The 16,426-nt window shown below is 42.7% G+C and overlaps 1 annotated feature.

The window, feature by feature from the left end:
• Positions 12,072-12,871: an enhancer, noted in NCBI's record as "OCT4-NANOG hESC enhancer chr8:66187065-66187864 (GRCh37/hg19 assembly coordinates)". NCBI's record gives its function as "activates a minimal SCP1, AML or CMV promoter by ChIP-STARR-seq in naive H9 embryonic stem cells {active_cell/tissue: H9 hESC(naive)}" and the evidence as "EXISTENCE:reporter gene assay evidence [ECO:0000049][PMID:30033119]".

The raw sequence follows: 16,426 nt of genomic DNA, 5'->3' as shown, positions 1-16,426 counted from the left end.
AAATATTAGAAAAATTAGAGTAAAAGTCAAGCTGATGATCTTGACAAAATCAAGGAACTCTCCCAGGATGTAGAGAAAAAGGGCTGTTAAAAAAAGTATATTAAAAAAGGCATGAGATGTAAAAGACTGAAGAGGTTCAGCATCCCTCCCTATAGAGTTTCTACTGGGGATGGGATAATAATGATAACGGTAATACAAATCTTGAAGTCAATTTCACTAAACCAAAGAAAAACTTAAGTATGCTGATAAAAAGTGACACTGAGTTCTGAGAAGGATAAATGAAAATAAATAAATAAATAAATAAATAAATAAATAAATAAATAAATAAAAGTCCTATCACCAAATACAACTTGTGAAAATCGAGAACACTAAAGGGGTAGAAAACATCCTGACTGCTTCCAGAAAGGAGGGAGAGAAAACAAATGAAACCAACCAACCAACCAACCAACCAACCAACCAACCATCCATCCATCCAACCAAACAACCGATCAGACAAACAAAAGCATGTTCCTTGAAAATGCATGAGAATCAATAGAGCACGGAAGATATAAGTACAATTACAGAAATGAATGTTGAAAACCTTGACAATGTAAAACTTAATCTTTTAAGGGAAAAGAAGTGGAATGTAGTTCAAGTTTTAAATTCCTCATCTTTCAATCTAATATTGACGAAATAGGATTTTACATGTGTTCAGTGAAGATAAAAGTGACTATCTCAGAGAAGCAGAATTCGTGAGATAGGGGAGAACTTTTCCTTTTCTTTTTAGAGTTGGGTAATAGTTTTTTTTTTAACCATTTGCAGATATTAATGATTCAAAAAGAATCACCAGGAGGCAGTCTCCTTACACAGAGGTTCAGCCCTTCTGCTCAGTCATGTTTTGTGGCCATGTGCCCTGGTTAGAGCCTCTCCCAGGCCTGAACGGTCAGGTTGGCCTCATGTCCTTGTGGACTAGGAACTTGGGGTGCTTTGCTTACTTCCCTTGTGGAAGTGCATGGTATTTGGAAGAGCAGTGAGTCAAGAGGGAAAAATTGGGGCGCTAACTCACTCGGTTTGTTATTAATAGTTTAACAGTTCAGGCGCAGTGGCTCACGCCTGTAATCCCAGCACTTTGGGAGGCCGAGGCGAGCAGATTGCCTGAGGTCAGGAGTTTGAGACCAGCCTGACCAACATCGTGATACCTTGTCTCTACTAAAAATAACAAAAATTAGCCGGGCGTGGCCTGTAATCCCAGCTACTCGGGAGGCTGAGGAAGGAGAATCACTTGAACCCGGGAGGCGGAGGTTGCAGTGAGCTGAGACGGGGCCTTGGCACTCCATCCAGCCTGGGCAACAAGAGTGAAACTCCGTCTCAAAAAAAAAAAAAATGTTTAACAGTGCAACTTACTAGTCTTTTGGCTCTGCTGCCTCAATTCTTTCATCTGTAAAATAGAGAGGTTGGATTAAATTGGTGAATTTCAAACTGTTTGCAGAGCTCTGAGACTGATGGTGAAGTACTTGGGGAGGCAGCTCCTGAAAATGAGGGGGTCTTAAGGGAGAGCTCAGATTTTCCACTCCCAATCCCACGAAAGCAGTTGTGCTTTGACCTGTTTTAAGCATTGATTTCCATATAAGATCTCATTTGAGTGAAGGGCACTGTGTTAAAAGGGTGTGAATTCCATGGGAGTAGACACTCTCCAGGGTTCTTTTGAGCTCTAAAGTCCTGTAATTCTGAAAAGAACAGCCATGCGCAAAAAGAGTTGTATTGAATATTAATAAACAATCTCTTTTTATTCTCTTTGAAAACAAATTAAGGGATAAAAGGTTCCTTTGTTACAAATACACGTTAGATTTAGGAAGAAAATGTAGGGTTAAGTACAATATCAGATTTTTATTTCAAGTCGTTTTATAAGCATCACTTTTTATATCTGCAAAGTTTTTGTTTATCAAGCTTCCTGATATGCATACAACTCTACTCGCTGGCAAATTTATGGTTTTTTTTCACATCCAAGGAAAAGATATGTAATAGTTTAATTAAATCTCCCCCTACTTACTCTATCATGGTGCTTCTTAACCATACATTTTCCCTTTTTCTGCTGTCTGTGGGATGATAGAAATGACAGAAAGGAGAGATACTGCTTGGGCTGTGCAAATGCCTGGATATAAATTAATCTTAAATTAATCTGGAAAACACTAAATTAAACTAATATTTAATAAGTTTAACTTTTGGGAAGTAAATTGTGATTTGCTCCAGTATTTTAAAGTAGGTGGCTGCAGTAGTGTAGGGTCTGGGCAATCAGACACCTCACTGGCAGCTTCACTGTATTAGAATGCCCTTGGTTAGGATTTCTTTTTGATATTTCTCACTTTCTAAGCTAGAGCAGAAGTCTTTTTTTTTTCCGGTGACATTTATTAATCTTTGCCCTGCTTTTATGTAAATCACCTCTCTACCTAAATTTCATGCTTTCAATCCTTCATGGATCAATCATTTGCTGAGTTCCCACACTGTGCTGGGAGCTGGGATGCTATGGTGAACAATACAGCCAGATACCTGCCCTCCTGGAGCATCAGACTGGTCACCACCCCTGTGACCAGAGAGTACAGGGTGCTAGGAGTGTGCAGAGGAGGGGGCCCCCGCCTGGATCTGGGAGTTAATTTCTGTAACCATGAGGGCCCATCTGCTTGACTCGGAGGTTCCCACAAATACACAAACCACATAGCCCTTCATAATTACTTGGTGCTTAGATTGGTCAAGATCAACAAGAAGATGGACTTTATCTGACTTTCAGAATGAAAGTAGCTGTTATGGTCACTCTGCCAAAGCAGGAGGGAAGGAGGGACCTCCCCTTTGGGACTACCCCAATTTTGTCAGGATGTCAAGACGGATGATGCCACACATACACACACCAAGAAAGAGGGAGTGAAAATATCTTCCTTACACAAAGAAGGGCTTGGGAGAGAGCAGGGCAAGGCTCTCAAGCAGGTCTGGAGTGGCTTGAGAGAGAATCAGTAAAGGAGACTGGCCTGGGGTTCCATCATGGTTGGGGGTGGGGCCAGGTGGAGCTTCCTGAGCCTGGTAGGGGCTTGTGTGGTTTCAATGTTCTGCAGGCACTGAAGGACGGTCCTTTTTTAATCAGCGTGTTCAAATGCACAAAGGGAAGAGGGAGGGGTGGCTTAAAAGCTGTCAGAAGCCAAAGATAAACAATGGAGTCAGATGCCTCATTACAGTGGCCCATCTACTGCCCCAGATGCGCAAACCTTTTCTTTGCCTTGAATTCCAAAACAAATTGCTTACATAAGACTAGGCAGGGAGCTCGCATACCACAGTGGACAATGTTCCTCACCTCGCCTCGATTTTAATAACAGATGCAGTGATGCTGGGCTTGCCTTATTGTGAAACTGCAGCTCAGGAGAGCAAGTCCAAGGGGGACTTCAGTAACAGAGTGCACAGGGGCCAAAGAGTAGACAAGGATGACAGCTGCTGCAGAAGCTTCAGATGGTCTTTTTGTTTGCTTGCTTACATAACTTTAAACAGCAGGATTTTTGATACGAACTGGGTAGCAGATAACATAAAAGTGACTCATTGACAATGTTTGGAGTATTTTGTGTTGTTGATTGAGGGTAAATTCTTACATTATTAATCATAAAGCAGTTAGTGATGTTCACAACATGCTGTGAAAGATTGGGGGATCTAACTATAACTACTTGGTTTTACTAAATTATTGCCAATTAACTCATCTCCCTCCCTCCCTCCCTTTCTTCTTTCCTTCCTTCGTTCCTCCCTCTCTCTGTCACTCCCCTCCCTTCTCCTCCACCTCCCCTCCTTCCCCTCTCCCTTCCTCCCCTTTTCCTCTTCTCCCCTCCCCTACTTCCCCTTTCCTGCCCTTCCCTCCCTTTCTTTTCCCTTTCCTTCCTTTCTTTCTTCATTTTGGTAGGGGATAGTCTAGTATTCCCATATTTCCATCTCCTAATGGAGGTATGGGGGTGTTGGAATACTGGACTGGAAAATAAAATTCTCTGGACACAGGACATTTGCACTTAATACATTGCTTTAAAATTTTTTCCACCTCACTATATGTCAATAACAATTTAGATATGGATTGTTTTACTCTGAATATCTCTAGAACGCCTTCTTTTGGTCAATTTTCCTTGGTCTTTTTATCAATGCTCTGGACATGAACCTACTTTGGAAACAAACCTGCTTTAGTCTATATCCAGCTGGCATGCAAGATGCTGTCTGTTCAGGAGAAAATGATGTGCAAATCAGGGAAAAATAAGGAATGGACATATTTGGGGAAAACATCGAACATCTTTGAAAAGGTGGGCATATTCTCTTCAAATTGTTTAATTAACCCTGAAAAATCAGAGGGGAATTTGCATTGTGAAACATGGAAACAGATGATCTCATTGCCAAGGTTTCTATTATTCCTAACTTTTGGTCAAGTGACATGGCATTTAAAGGGGCTTGTCTGGAGGACTTATTCACTTCTTAATTCAAAAGTTTGCCTTTTCAGACTGACCTCTTACAAGGTAAGAGGAAGCGAACTAGAGGGCCTAGAAGGGTCAGTGTGAGCATACTAATCTTCTTTCAAATATAAAAGAGGAAGGCACCCTGGGTAAGACTTTTTCAACTTTTTTTTCAACAGCAACAGCTTTGGGTCTCCCTGTAGGTGGGGCTGAGTCTCTGTTGCTGCATTTTAAGATGGGCCTTGAAACGGGTTCCTCTGTTACGCCTGGTTTCCTCCTGGCAGAGACATGCAGTGTTGTGTCTCTCTTACCACCAGATCTTTAGCACAATTTTGGCCCATTCCTGAAAGAATTACACAGTCCCAATCAACACACTCTCTTCTTCAGAGATGAATAGCATTATATACTTGCGTATCTGAATAAGCAAGAAATACATGCATGTCTCTTAGTGAGCTTCATTGCCTTTGCAATTTTGTGATTCATGGGATCCCAGGACCTGAAAAGGTGGAAGAAAAGTCTCTCTAGTTCACGTTAATGATACTTGTATTTTTTTGAACACCTAGCACATATAAGACACAGTGCAATATGTTATAAGACATATAGGGAGAAACAAGGCATGATTCCTGCCCTCCAGGGTTTGACAGTCCAGTTGGGATAATGCCACTTGAGTGTGTGTGTGTGCATGTGCGTGTATCAGTCCATTTTCACACTGCTATAACAAACTACCTGAGACTGGGTAATTTATAAGAAAAGAGGTTTAATTGACTCACAGTTCCACAGGCTTCACAGCAAGCACGACTGAGAGGCCTCAGAAAACTTACAATTATGGTGAAAGATGAAGGGGAAGCAAGCACGTCTTACCATGGCAACAGGAGAGTAGGGGGTGGGGGGAACTGACACACACTTTTAAACCATCAGATCTCGTGAGAACTCACTCAGTATCACCAGAACAGCATGTGGGAAACACCCCCCATGATCCAATCACCTTCCACCAGCAACCTCCCTCAACACATGGGGATTACAATTCGTGATGAGATTTGGGTGGGAACACAGAACCAAACCATCTCTCTCTGTGTGTGTGTGTGTGTGTGTGTGTGTGTGTGTTTGTGAGAGGGAGAGAGAGAGAGAGAGAGACAGACAGACAGAGAGAGACCAAGAGACAGAAGGGTAATAGCATAGGCTGAAGCAGCAAGTTAGAGGTGTACAATGCAAATACTCAATAAGGGGAGTATTGAGAATGCTCCAGGATGGCTTAAATAGAAAGGGCAAGAGGAGTGGAGCTGCAAAAAGTATTAGTGACAGGCGTGGAAGGGGGTGTGAGAAAAGAGACGCTCCGGCTAAGACCACTTAAGACTCATCAGACTCTCCCAATGCCAGAAGAGAGAAATTGGATGAGTTTTTAAGATCAAGGAGAAAGGCATATGACCTAAAGCCATCAGACAATATATTACATTTGGGGATTTATGAAAACGTTTGATTAGGATTTATAACAATTACAATTGAGAAGTAAAAGTACAATCAACTTTGGTGAACACTAGGATTGTCTAATATTGGGGTGAGTGATTTTTTTTTAGTATAAAAAGAACGGATCAACTGTACTTGAGGTCCACATACTCAAACCATGTTGGCATGAGAGAGAGAACGGGCAAGTAGTGAATTGGAGGGAGCAGGCCTTTGTGTACACTACATGCCCAAAGAGATATCTGGGAAGTCTTGGGGTCAAGCAGGCTCTATTGACCTATTCATTGTGTGCTTATTAACAAGATGAATCTTTCCTGAAAACCATTGCCTGAACCCAATGCTTCTCTGAAAGGGTGCAAAAAGGGGGAAGTTGTAAGGATCCCTTAACCCTGTCCTTCCACCCTGATAAAACCATTCCTCCAGGAAGCAAAGAGGAGCCAAAGGCTTGCAGATGGAAATAGGTTAAAGTGGATTGCCCTTCGTTGATCATATCAATTAATGACCCAATTATTATACAGCTACTTTGGGCTTCTCATAGCAAAGCACATACAAAGTATTCAAGGACAAGTCAGGGCTTCCTGTGAGTTGAATTTTGCCTTTCAAAAAGATATATTTTAAGATGGGAACAACAGACAATGGTAACTACTAGAAGGGGGAGAAAGGGAGGGGGGTAAGGGCTGAAAAACTACCAATTGGGTGCTATGCTCACCACCTGGGTGATGGGATCATTTATATCCCAAAATCTCAGTGTCACATGATATAACCATGTAACAAACCTGCGCATGTACCCCTGGATCTAAAATAAAAGTTGAAATTATAAAATTTAAAAAAATGCAACCCTTGCCCCTGCTAACAACCAAAAAGACATGTCTTTGCAGAAATAATCAAGTAAAGATGAGGTCATACTGGATTAGAGTGGGCCCCAAATCTGATGACTGAGGCCCTCATAAGGACGTAAAGATTTGGAGACACACAGGGAAGCAGGCTATGTGACCATGGAGGCAGAGATTGGAGCGAGGCAGCTACAAGGTAAAGAATGCCCAGGATTGCTGGCCACCTCCAGAAGCTAGAGGAGGCAAGGAGAGGTTCTTCCCTAGAAACTTCAGATGGAGCATGGCCCTGTTGACACCTTGATTTTGGACTTCTGGACCCCAGGACTTTAATAATAAATTTCTGTTGCCTTAGGCCACTGAGTTTGTTATGGCAGCCACAGGAGACTAATCCAGGGCCTTCATACAGTGTAATGCAGAAGTCAGTTGGTTCCTACATCCTTGGTGCCACACCTGATTCTACCCAGGAGGACCACCTGGGATACAGGACTTCATCCCTTGCCAGTTTCCATAAGCAGTCCCACCACACTGAGCACATTGCTTTCATGAACATTGGGGAGGGCGTCAAAAGGAGGTCACATGGTATCCTACACCAAATTCTATCATTTCCTTTGACTCTCTCTCCCTCCATCTCCCTCCTCTCACTCTCCTACCCACCTTCTCTCAGAAAAAAAGTAAATTCTTTTTCTTTTCTTTTTTTTTCTTGAGACGGAGTTCTGTTCTTATTGCCGAGGCTGGAGTGCAATGGCACGATCTTGGCTCACTGCAACCTCTGCCTCCCGGATTCAGTGATTCTCCTGCCTCAGCCTCCCAAGTAGCTGGGATTACAGGCATGCACCATCATACCCAGCTAATTTTGTACTTTTAGTAGAGACGGGGTTTCTCCATGTTGGCAAGGCTGGTCTTGAACTCCTGACCTCAGGTGATCCGCCCACCTCGGTCTCCCAAAGTGCTAGGATTACAGGCATGAGCCACTGCACCTGGCCAAATTCTTCTTTTATGCAGTAATGGAATCCCTGGTGGTGATGGTTAATATTAAGTGTCAACTTGATTGGATTGAAGGATGCAAAGTATTGTTCTAGGTGTGTCTGTGAGGGTGCTGCCACAGGAGATTAATATTTGAGTCAGGGGACTGGGAGAGGCAGACCTACCCTCAATCTGGATGGGCCCCATCTAATCAGCTGCCAGCGAGGCTAGGATAAAAGCAGGCAGAGAAACATGGAAGGACTAGACTGGCTGAGTCTTCCAGCCTTCATCTTTCTCCCATGCTGGATGCTTCCTGCCCTCGAACATCAGACTCCAAGTTCTTCAGCTTTTGGACACTTGGACTTAAATCAGTGGTTTGCCAGGAGTTCTCAGGCCTTTGGTCCAGATTGAAGGCTGCATTGTCGGCTTTCCTACTTTTGAGGTTTTGGGACTCAAACTGGCTTCCTGGCCCCTCAGCTTGCAGACAGCCTATTGTGGGGCTTCACCTTGTGATCATGTGAGTCAGTACTCCTTAAAAAACTCCCCTTCATATATACATCTATCCTATTAGTCCTGCCCCCTTAGAGAACCCTCTAGAGACTAATACATCTTTGGTACTTGAGTACGCTCTTGATTTTCAAGGTATTTCTTTCTAATATACACAGCTTTCTTTTGGAGGATTCTGGTGGATACATTTTTCTCCTGCCATTACAGCTTTGCCCCTCCCTCATTTAGGAGAGAATAAAGTGGTCCCAGAGAGGCAAAGTGACCTGCCTGCCGTAGTTCACTGAATTGCCAGGGCTTCCCTGTCCTCGCTGATGGTCCCACTGGGGGAATTGATTCCTCCTCCTTTTTCTTTAATTTTGAACAGCCTCAAGCCTCATCTTACCTACCAGCCCTTTCTTGACATCTCCATTCAGCTTTTACCTCCCTACATCTCCAGGGGTCTCATAGCATTTGACTATGCACTGTTAAGTCTAAGTAGTTTCATGTATTTCAGTGGTATCTTCCCACTCCAGATACTGTTATGTGTAAGCTTTTAAGTGAAAAGCTATCTAAGGAAAGGATAAGGAAACTGGGTCTACAACTAAGTCCTGTGTGATCATAGGAAAGTCTTTTAACCTCTGTGTTTCTTGGATTTTTCATAGACATGAAGGTGCTTTAATTATTCAGAAAGTGTTGTTTTGCCATGCCTCACCTAGTCCATACTTAGTGAAGATGGTTGAGTTTACCTTATTCAATGAATTAGGTTTTTGAACATAAGCAGGATAATGGACCATTGAAAATAGTTTCTACATGTGTGCATGCATGGGATTAAATAAAAGTCATAGTTTAAATGCTAGAGTTCCAAATCCTTCTTGGCTTCTTCATCTCTGTGCTGTCCAGAAGTTTATGGATCAAAACACTTTATAAAAGAAATTTATTGATAGAAAAAATGGCTGAAACCAAGGCTTGGAAGTAGGTGGCAGAGAAATAAAGCTCTTCCATTATCTCAGAACATGAACAAAGAGAAGGGAGACTGCATGGCAGGGAAAGGTCTGTCTTGACAACAAACTCCTGACATACGTTAGGCTGGACCCTACACCCTTAAACCAGAGACACTCAGTGACAGTATGTCACTGGTCCACCCAGGGGCATGCAAGAAGGGGTGTATTGTCTGTAGAGAATTCAAAAACAATTATAAAATGGACCATAGGCTGGTCTTCTTTTTTTCTTTTCTTTTTTTTGAGATGGAGTTTTGTTCTTGTTGTCCAGGCTGGAGTGCAATGGCATGATCTCGGCTCACTGCAACCTCTGCCTCGCGGGTTCAAGCGATTCTCCTTCCTCAGCCTCCTTAGTAGCTGGGATTACAGGTGCATGCCACCACACCCAGATAATTTTTGTGTTTTTAGTAGAGACAGGGTTTCACCATATTGGTCAGGCTGGTCTTCAACTCCTGACTGCAGGTAATCCACCTGCCTTGGCCTCCCAAAGTGCTGGGATTACTGGCGTGAGCCACAACGCCTGGCTCGGTCTGCTTTTTATTATCACCATGGACCAGCAATTCTAAATCATGTTAGTGACAAAATACTCTCTGAAAAAATCTTTTGTGATCTAAGTTCTAAATAATTGTGAGTCATTATTGAGTTTAAATAATAGCTAAAGTTTTCATTTCTCTATATATGCCTATAATATTCTCTGTATATGCCTGGGAGTGGAGTTGTGGGGTTGGATGACAACTGTATGTTTAACATTTTAAAGAACTGCCAGTTTGTGATCCAAAGTGGGCACAGACCCATCAACAATGTATGGGGATTCCAGTTTCTCTCCGTCCTCACCCAGAGTTATTTTCTCTCTCCTTTGTTTTCGACATCCTGTTGTGTGTAAAGTGGTGTCTCATTTGTGGTTCTGATCGGCATTTCCCTGACTGATAACATTGAGCTTCTTTTCATAGGGCTGTTGGACATTTGCATATCTTTTTGGGAGGAGTATCCATTCAAATCATTTGTCCATTTTTAAATTGGGTTATTGGTCCTTTTATGGTTGAGTTGTAAGTGTTCCTGATATACTCTGGAAATTAGCTCCTTGTCGTATGTATGATTTGCAGGTATTTTCTCACATTTGGTGGGTTGTCTTTTCACTTTCTTGGTGTTATCATTTGAGGCACAAATTGTTTCCATTTCAATGAAATGGAGTGTATCTTATCTTTTGTCATATATGCTTTTGTTGTCATATCTAAGTAAAACTGCCTAACCCAAAGTCAAAACACAGCTAAATTGGCATATTGTTCTTATTCTTATTAACATGATATTCTACACAGAAGTTAAAGAATTCCTGGTTATACAGTAAGGCCAACACATGTAGACTCTGCAACATGCTCATTTCAGGAGAAATGACTTGAGTTCTCTGGCTTGCCTTGGGTAGAGTTTGTGTGCTGGTCCCTGGGAAAGGGTTAATCAATCATAGATTAGAAATAAGCAGTGAGAGCATTATGATTGCCAAGATGAAGGAAGAGAGCTTGAGTTTAACTCTAACAATCTATGTGGTTTCTTGGAGTTTTTATTTGTACTTACATTTTAAAACAGTAAAACTGAGTGCCAATAACAAGTGTAAGATTTTTGTTGGTAAGGGCAAATTTAGTTCGGCATGAAATGTTTTACTGAATTTGAAGATACATTTAAAATTAAAATTTATTCCTTTAAAATAGTTCATTGCTTTAAAACTATTACAAAATCAGGAAAATAAAAAGCTACATAAGCGGCACTGTTTAGTAAATTCCTAAATTTCACCTATTGCAGACATTTTGGTTTTATTAAAATTTACAAATTAGTTATGGACAATGATTTACATAAAATATTATTATATCAAACTGTGACCAGTGGATCAAATTCAGATGACTAGTTCTATTAAAAAACAATTGAATACATAGTTCTGCATTTTTTCTTTTTGTACTGTAGTAATATTTATTTAAATTTTAAAGCTTTAATTTTTTACTGGCACAATTACATATAGAGTACATTAAAATTTTTTCATTGTCTGCAATTCTTTTCTGGCTGTTATCCTTGTTTCCTGTCATGATTACTATGAAATATTTTTGTTGTGTGGAGGCATGGGGTGTTACAAAATGACCAGGTCTCAACGTCAAATCACTGTTTGCCACCGCTCTCGTCATACAGTGAAACTGGTTGTTTGGTTCAAGTTGGTTTGAAAGCACAGTGTGGTCTAGTTTTAGGAGTCAACTCTGCCACCACCAAGCAGTGGAATTTGAAGTTGCTCGATTTTCCTATATGTAATGACAGAGAATTTGGAGAAGATGACTTTGACGTTGTTTTCCAGCTCTGAAATTTTACAGTTCAGACTGTTGTACCCACACACACATGCGTGTACACACCCACACACACCCACACATACAGCACTGGCATGCTTACCAACTCAACATTCGTTTTAAGGAGTTTCTGTCATTGCTTTCCAGATTCACCTACTGTTTAGATGGCTGTGAATGTGAGCTTTATCAATTCTTGTTTCTCGGTCTTGGCTATATTCCATCCTAAATTTGTTGGTATTTTCAGCATAAATGTTATCTGCAAATGTCATTATTATGACTTTTTTCAAATCTTTGAATGTACTACTTTGTCTACAATTTACCTGCCATGAACTCCATCCAAGCTACATTTTTTCCTGTTTTTCCTAACTCTTTATCATTATAATTTCTTCAAAATCTTATTGGCCCACCTCTTGTACCACCAGGCCAGTTCTAGGGAGGCTTTGGCCAGCCTTGGGCACAACAATGGGACAGTGCCTTGCCTGAGACTGCAGGGTCCTGGGTGTTGCTGAGGCTGAGAGAAGTGACTCATCACTCACACATGTAACCTAGAGGCACAAGGAGTCTACCTCTGTGGGGCCGTCTTTAACCAATGGAGAGCAGGCGCAAGAGAGTAAGTGCTTCCTCCTTTCTTCCTCAGCCAACAGTTCCAGCTGCCTTTCATGGGCTCCTCGAAGGCTCCAGCAAGATCCAGGAGAGTTGCTCAAGTCAGAGGCTGATGTACCCTGCATTGGCTTTCTCTGCTTCCCTGCCTCACTTCTCTTGGTCCTCACAATATTTGACTCAGGCTCTGCTTGCAAAGGAATGGAGGCTAATGTCTCTCAGGTGCAGTTTTGAGAGGGGGACCTAAAGAAGGCCTCTACTTGTAGGAGAGTAAGTTAAGGATGCAGCACCTTCAGTGCTGTATGCACCCAAGGGCTTATTCTGCATTTCAATGGACAAGCCTCTCCTCTTGAGCTCTCTTAAATGCCTCACTGCCTTTGACAAACCCAGTGAAAAGAGGAATTTGCCCCTTCCTTTTGCGAAAAGTAAATTAAAGATGACAGGAAAGTCTGACATACATGAAGATTCTTATTAGGGATGTCTGTGGGTCAAGTGTTAAAGTATTTTATCATGACCCCACTTTCCCACTTTCCCAAGGGATTACAAATTGTTGCTTACAAAAATCAGGCTGCTGTTACATTGGAACAGCAGGTGTGGGCACTGAAGAAGCTTGCATGCACTTCGCCTGGGTAAGCTTTCTTGTTCCTGCAGCCAACTCATCCCCTGCCTTGCTTTGAAATGCTCTCCGTGGCATGTGGGAGCAAATGACTTTCTGAGGCTGAGCCTAAAAGTTTCCCAAGCTGCTCTCTTGTTTTCCTGACAGAGTAAAGAACTTATTGGGGCTCTAATGAAAGGCAGGTTGCGATTGCTGTCATGTCAAGAACGCTGCAGTCGGGAAAGTCGACATGATTTCATGGCTAATGATTCACTCCCTAATATCAGTGTGGGCTGCAGTGAGGATAACCAAGTTGAGCTGTCTTAGATCAAATGATTCAATTAGGCCAGCTGTCCCTATTTGTCATGGCTCAACTCGCTCTCAAATTACCTTTCCAAAGTGCATACGTGCCTTAGCATAGAAGTTAACAGCTAAACTGTTTTACAAAAAAGGAATACTTAGAAGTGATTAGAAAAAGTCACCTTTTTTCTTTTTTCATCCACACAGGCTTCTCCCTATTCCCCGAACCCTCTCCCATAGGAGATGCAGTATGTATTTGCTCAGGTAACCCTGCAGCAGCCTCATCAGCTATTGTCCGGTTTTGCCTGTGAAGCCTCTTGGGGAATTTCTTGGCAAGAAATTGTTAATTCTGAAAAGGAAGGCTTGATCTAGGGTTATCTAAGTTGCTAGAGGAAGAAGAGCCAAGGTTAAAATGTTTTTCTGACGAACTTCCATTTCCTCCATTGGCAGTTGAGTTTTGGGTCAGAGAGGAATTTATGTTACATATTTGGTTTTTTTCCAGAGCTGATGAAAAGACTCAGGGATGAGATGTGAATTGGTAGCCTCCATGCGGCTTCAGGTCAACAACATACACTATTGCAAGGGGCAGTAACGTAACTAACCATTGTTTAAAAGGTAAGAGAAGTCCAGAATCTTAGTGTTTCCATGTGAGATAGGTGAAGAGTCTCATTGCCCTGGGGGAGAAATGGCCCTTCTGCCACAAATAGCCTGAATAAAGAAATGAGTCAGAAGATATTTGTGCCTGCCTTCCGTGTGAGGGGCACTGTACTCGGTGTTGGGGGAAATAAAACAAAAACCAGGGACCTGATTTCTACTGCAGAGGGGCTTGCACCGAATGATTCTGAAACCTTGTTGTGTATTTGGGGGTCATGGCTATTAGAAAGAGAAAAACAAATTGAAGTAAGTCTAGAGTAGAATGACTGAAATGGGCAAAGAAACAGAGGGTTTAATCTAAACAGGGAAATTATAAAGAAATGTTTAAAAAGAGCACTCCTTTGAATGAAATGGCAAATGTTGAGCTTTAACTGCTTAAAAAGCTAAATGTACAATCATGTAAAGGCTGTATATAGGTGATTGTCATGTAAAGGCTGTGATGGCTATTTTTATGTGTATAATTGACTGGGCTAAGAGATGCCCAGGTAGCTGCTACACCATTTCTGGGTGTGCCTGTGAGGGTGTTTTCTGGAAGAGATTAGCATTCGAATCAGTGAACTGAGTAGGGAAGATCTGCCCAGTGCCTGGCAGGTGAGCATCATCCAATTGGTTGATGCCTTAATCTATAAATGATGTGAGACTCTTGAAACTCCTCTGTTGTGAAATGTTCTCAAAAGATAAGTGAGGAGTACAGGTAGGGAGGGCATTCACGGAACGTTTGCTGAAGGAATCACCGTTCTTCCTTCTTTCCAGTGCATTTAAACTCAGGCTTATTTTGTATACAATTCAGAATTCAACTAGAAAGAAAGCAGCCCACAATGATGTGGGCATTTTAGACTTTGCTTCTCTGGTCTCTTGCTTCTTATTTATCCTTGTTTCAGGGAGAAGCAGGGTGATTTCAGCTCTGTTTCAACCCCTTGGAACTTTCACAGTCTCAGAGAAAAGAGAAAGCCTATGCCTGAGTTTTTTCTTTGTCCCAGGAAACACGCATTTCCCAGACAGAAAATTAAAGGGTGATCTAGAGTCAGAACATTTGGTTTACCATTGTTCCCCCAAGTATTGGTTTCATTGATTTGTCAGTTGGGTTTTTAACATCAGGATGCTACTGGAGATAAGGAAGATCATACACTGGCAGCCTCAGAAGCAAGGCCCCGCTGTATGCAGGCCTTACCAAGGCTGAGCAGTTTGGTCGCTGGACTCTCATCTGCAGTCCAGCCGGGTCTGGTGTCCAGGCTTTCTCTGTCTTCAGTGGCAGCAGGGCTGTGGGTCGGCTCCTGTGCTTGCCGTTCTGTGGCCTTGGCTCTTCTTTTGCTTCTGCTTCATTGAGATCCTACTTAGAGTTCTCTGCATGTCTCCATTCAAACTGCCCAAGAAAGAGCCTGGATTGGTCCAGCTTATTGCCCCTACTGGGTGGGGACGTCACAACCAACAGCTTTATGGGCATCTGGGCTTGCAGGAGATCAAACTCCGGATGCTCAGTGGTCCCTGTCTAATTGACTTTCATCAGAGCGACAGGGTTGTGTGGCACCAGTAAAGTAAGTTACGGAAAAGGAACTGAGGAAAGGCTGTAGGGGTAATAGGGGCTGAATTTCCCCCTCCTTCACATGGTGAAGTCCTAACCCCCAGTACTTCAGAATGGGCCCAGGTTTGGAGATAGGGCCTTAAAAGAGGTGATTTGGTTAAAATGAATTTAGTAGGCAGACCCTAATCCAATATGGTGGGTGACTTTAATAACAATGGGAAATGTAGTCCTAGACACGCACAGAGGGAAGAACATGTAAAGATAGGGGGACAGCGGCCATCTGCAAGCCAAGGGGAGAGGCCTCAGGAGAAACCAACCCTGCTGGCACCTCCATCATGGACTTCCAGCCTCCAGAACTGTGAGGAAATAAATTCTTGTTGTTTAAGCCACCCAGTATGAGGCACTTCATTATGGCAGCCCTAGCAATCAAATTCAGGGTGGCGAGCAATTGGAGCATGATGGTGTTGTAAAAAGAGCTTTGGGCAGAAAGTTTGGCAATAGGGTATATACCGTTCTTCTCCCACTGGGAGATGTTAGGCAAGCCTTGTCATGTCTTGAGTCCTCAGTTTCCTCATGTGTAAATAAAGGAGATTGGGACTAGATGAGCTGACCAAGGTTCTTTCCAGCTCTGACACCTGTACTGTGTGAGCCTCCTCACTGACCCCATTTAGAGTCCTCTCTGTCCTGCTTCTCATGGTTCATTCTGAAATGTGGACACAAAGGCTCTGGGGAGCACAGGCCTTCGAGGTGCTGTCCTTTTGTGGCTCACAGTTTCCCATCTATACCAACTTTCCTACTTATTTCTGTGTTCCCTTAACTAGGGGAATACCTGCCTGGAGACATAATTAGCCTAATTCCCCCCTGGTAGGGGGTGACGGCGGGCAGGCAATGCTGCGCTGGCAAAACATACCAAATTCTAAAATAACACTCAGCCGTGGGCTCCAGCCTCTCAAACAGGACACTGTAGGTGACCTCCTCTCCTCCTCTCCTCCCCCGTCCTCCTTTTTCATCTTCACTGTAGCCTGGAGGTTCTGCTTCCTGTGTCCCGCTTTGTACCTCCTGACCTGACAATAGCAATGAGCCAGCTTTGCAGGTTAAGAAGGTCTAACGGATATTCTGGGGTGCAGGGGTGCATCAAGAACCTACGCACCTCCTGGGAGCCTCATTCTTTCTCTTGTGGCCAATGACTAGGACGGGTAAAATAACAAGGTGGAAAAAACAATTATTTAGGGATCGAAGCTGAAATGGGGA

Source organism: Homo sapiens, chromosome 8 (assembly GCF_000001405.40).
Source record: "Homo sapiens chromosome 8, GRCh38.p14 Primary Assembly".
Taxonomy (NCBI): domain Eukaryota; kingdom Metazoa; phylum Chordata; class Mammalia; order Primates; family Hominidae; genus Homo; species Homo sapiens.
This window is presented reverse-complemented; position numbering and strand designations above follow the sequence as displayed.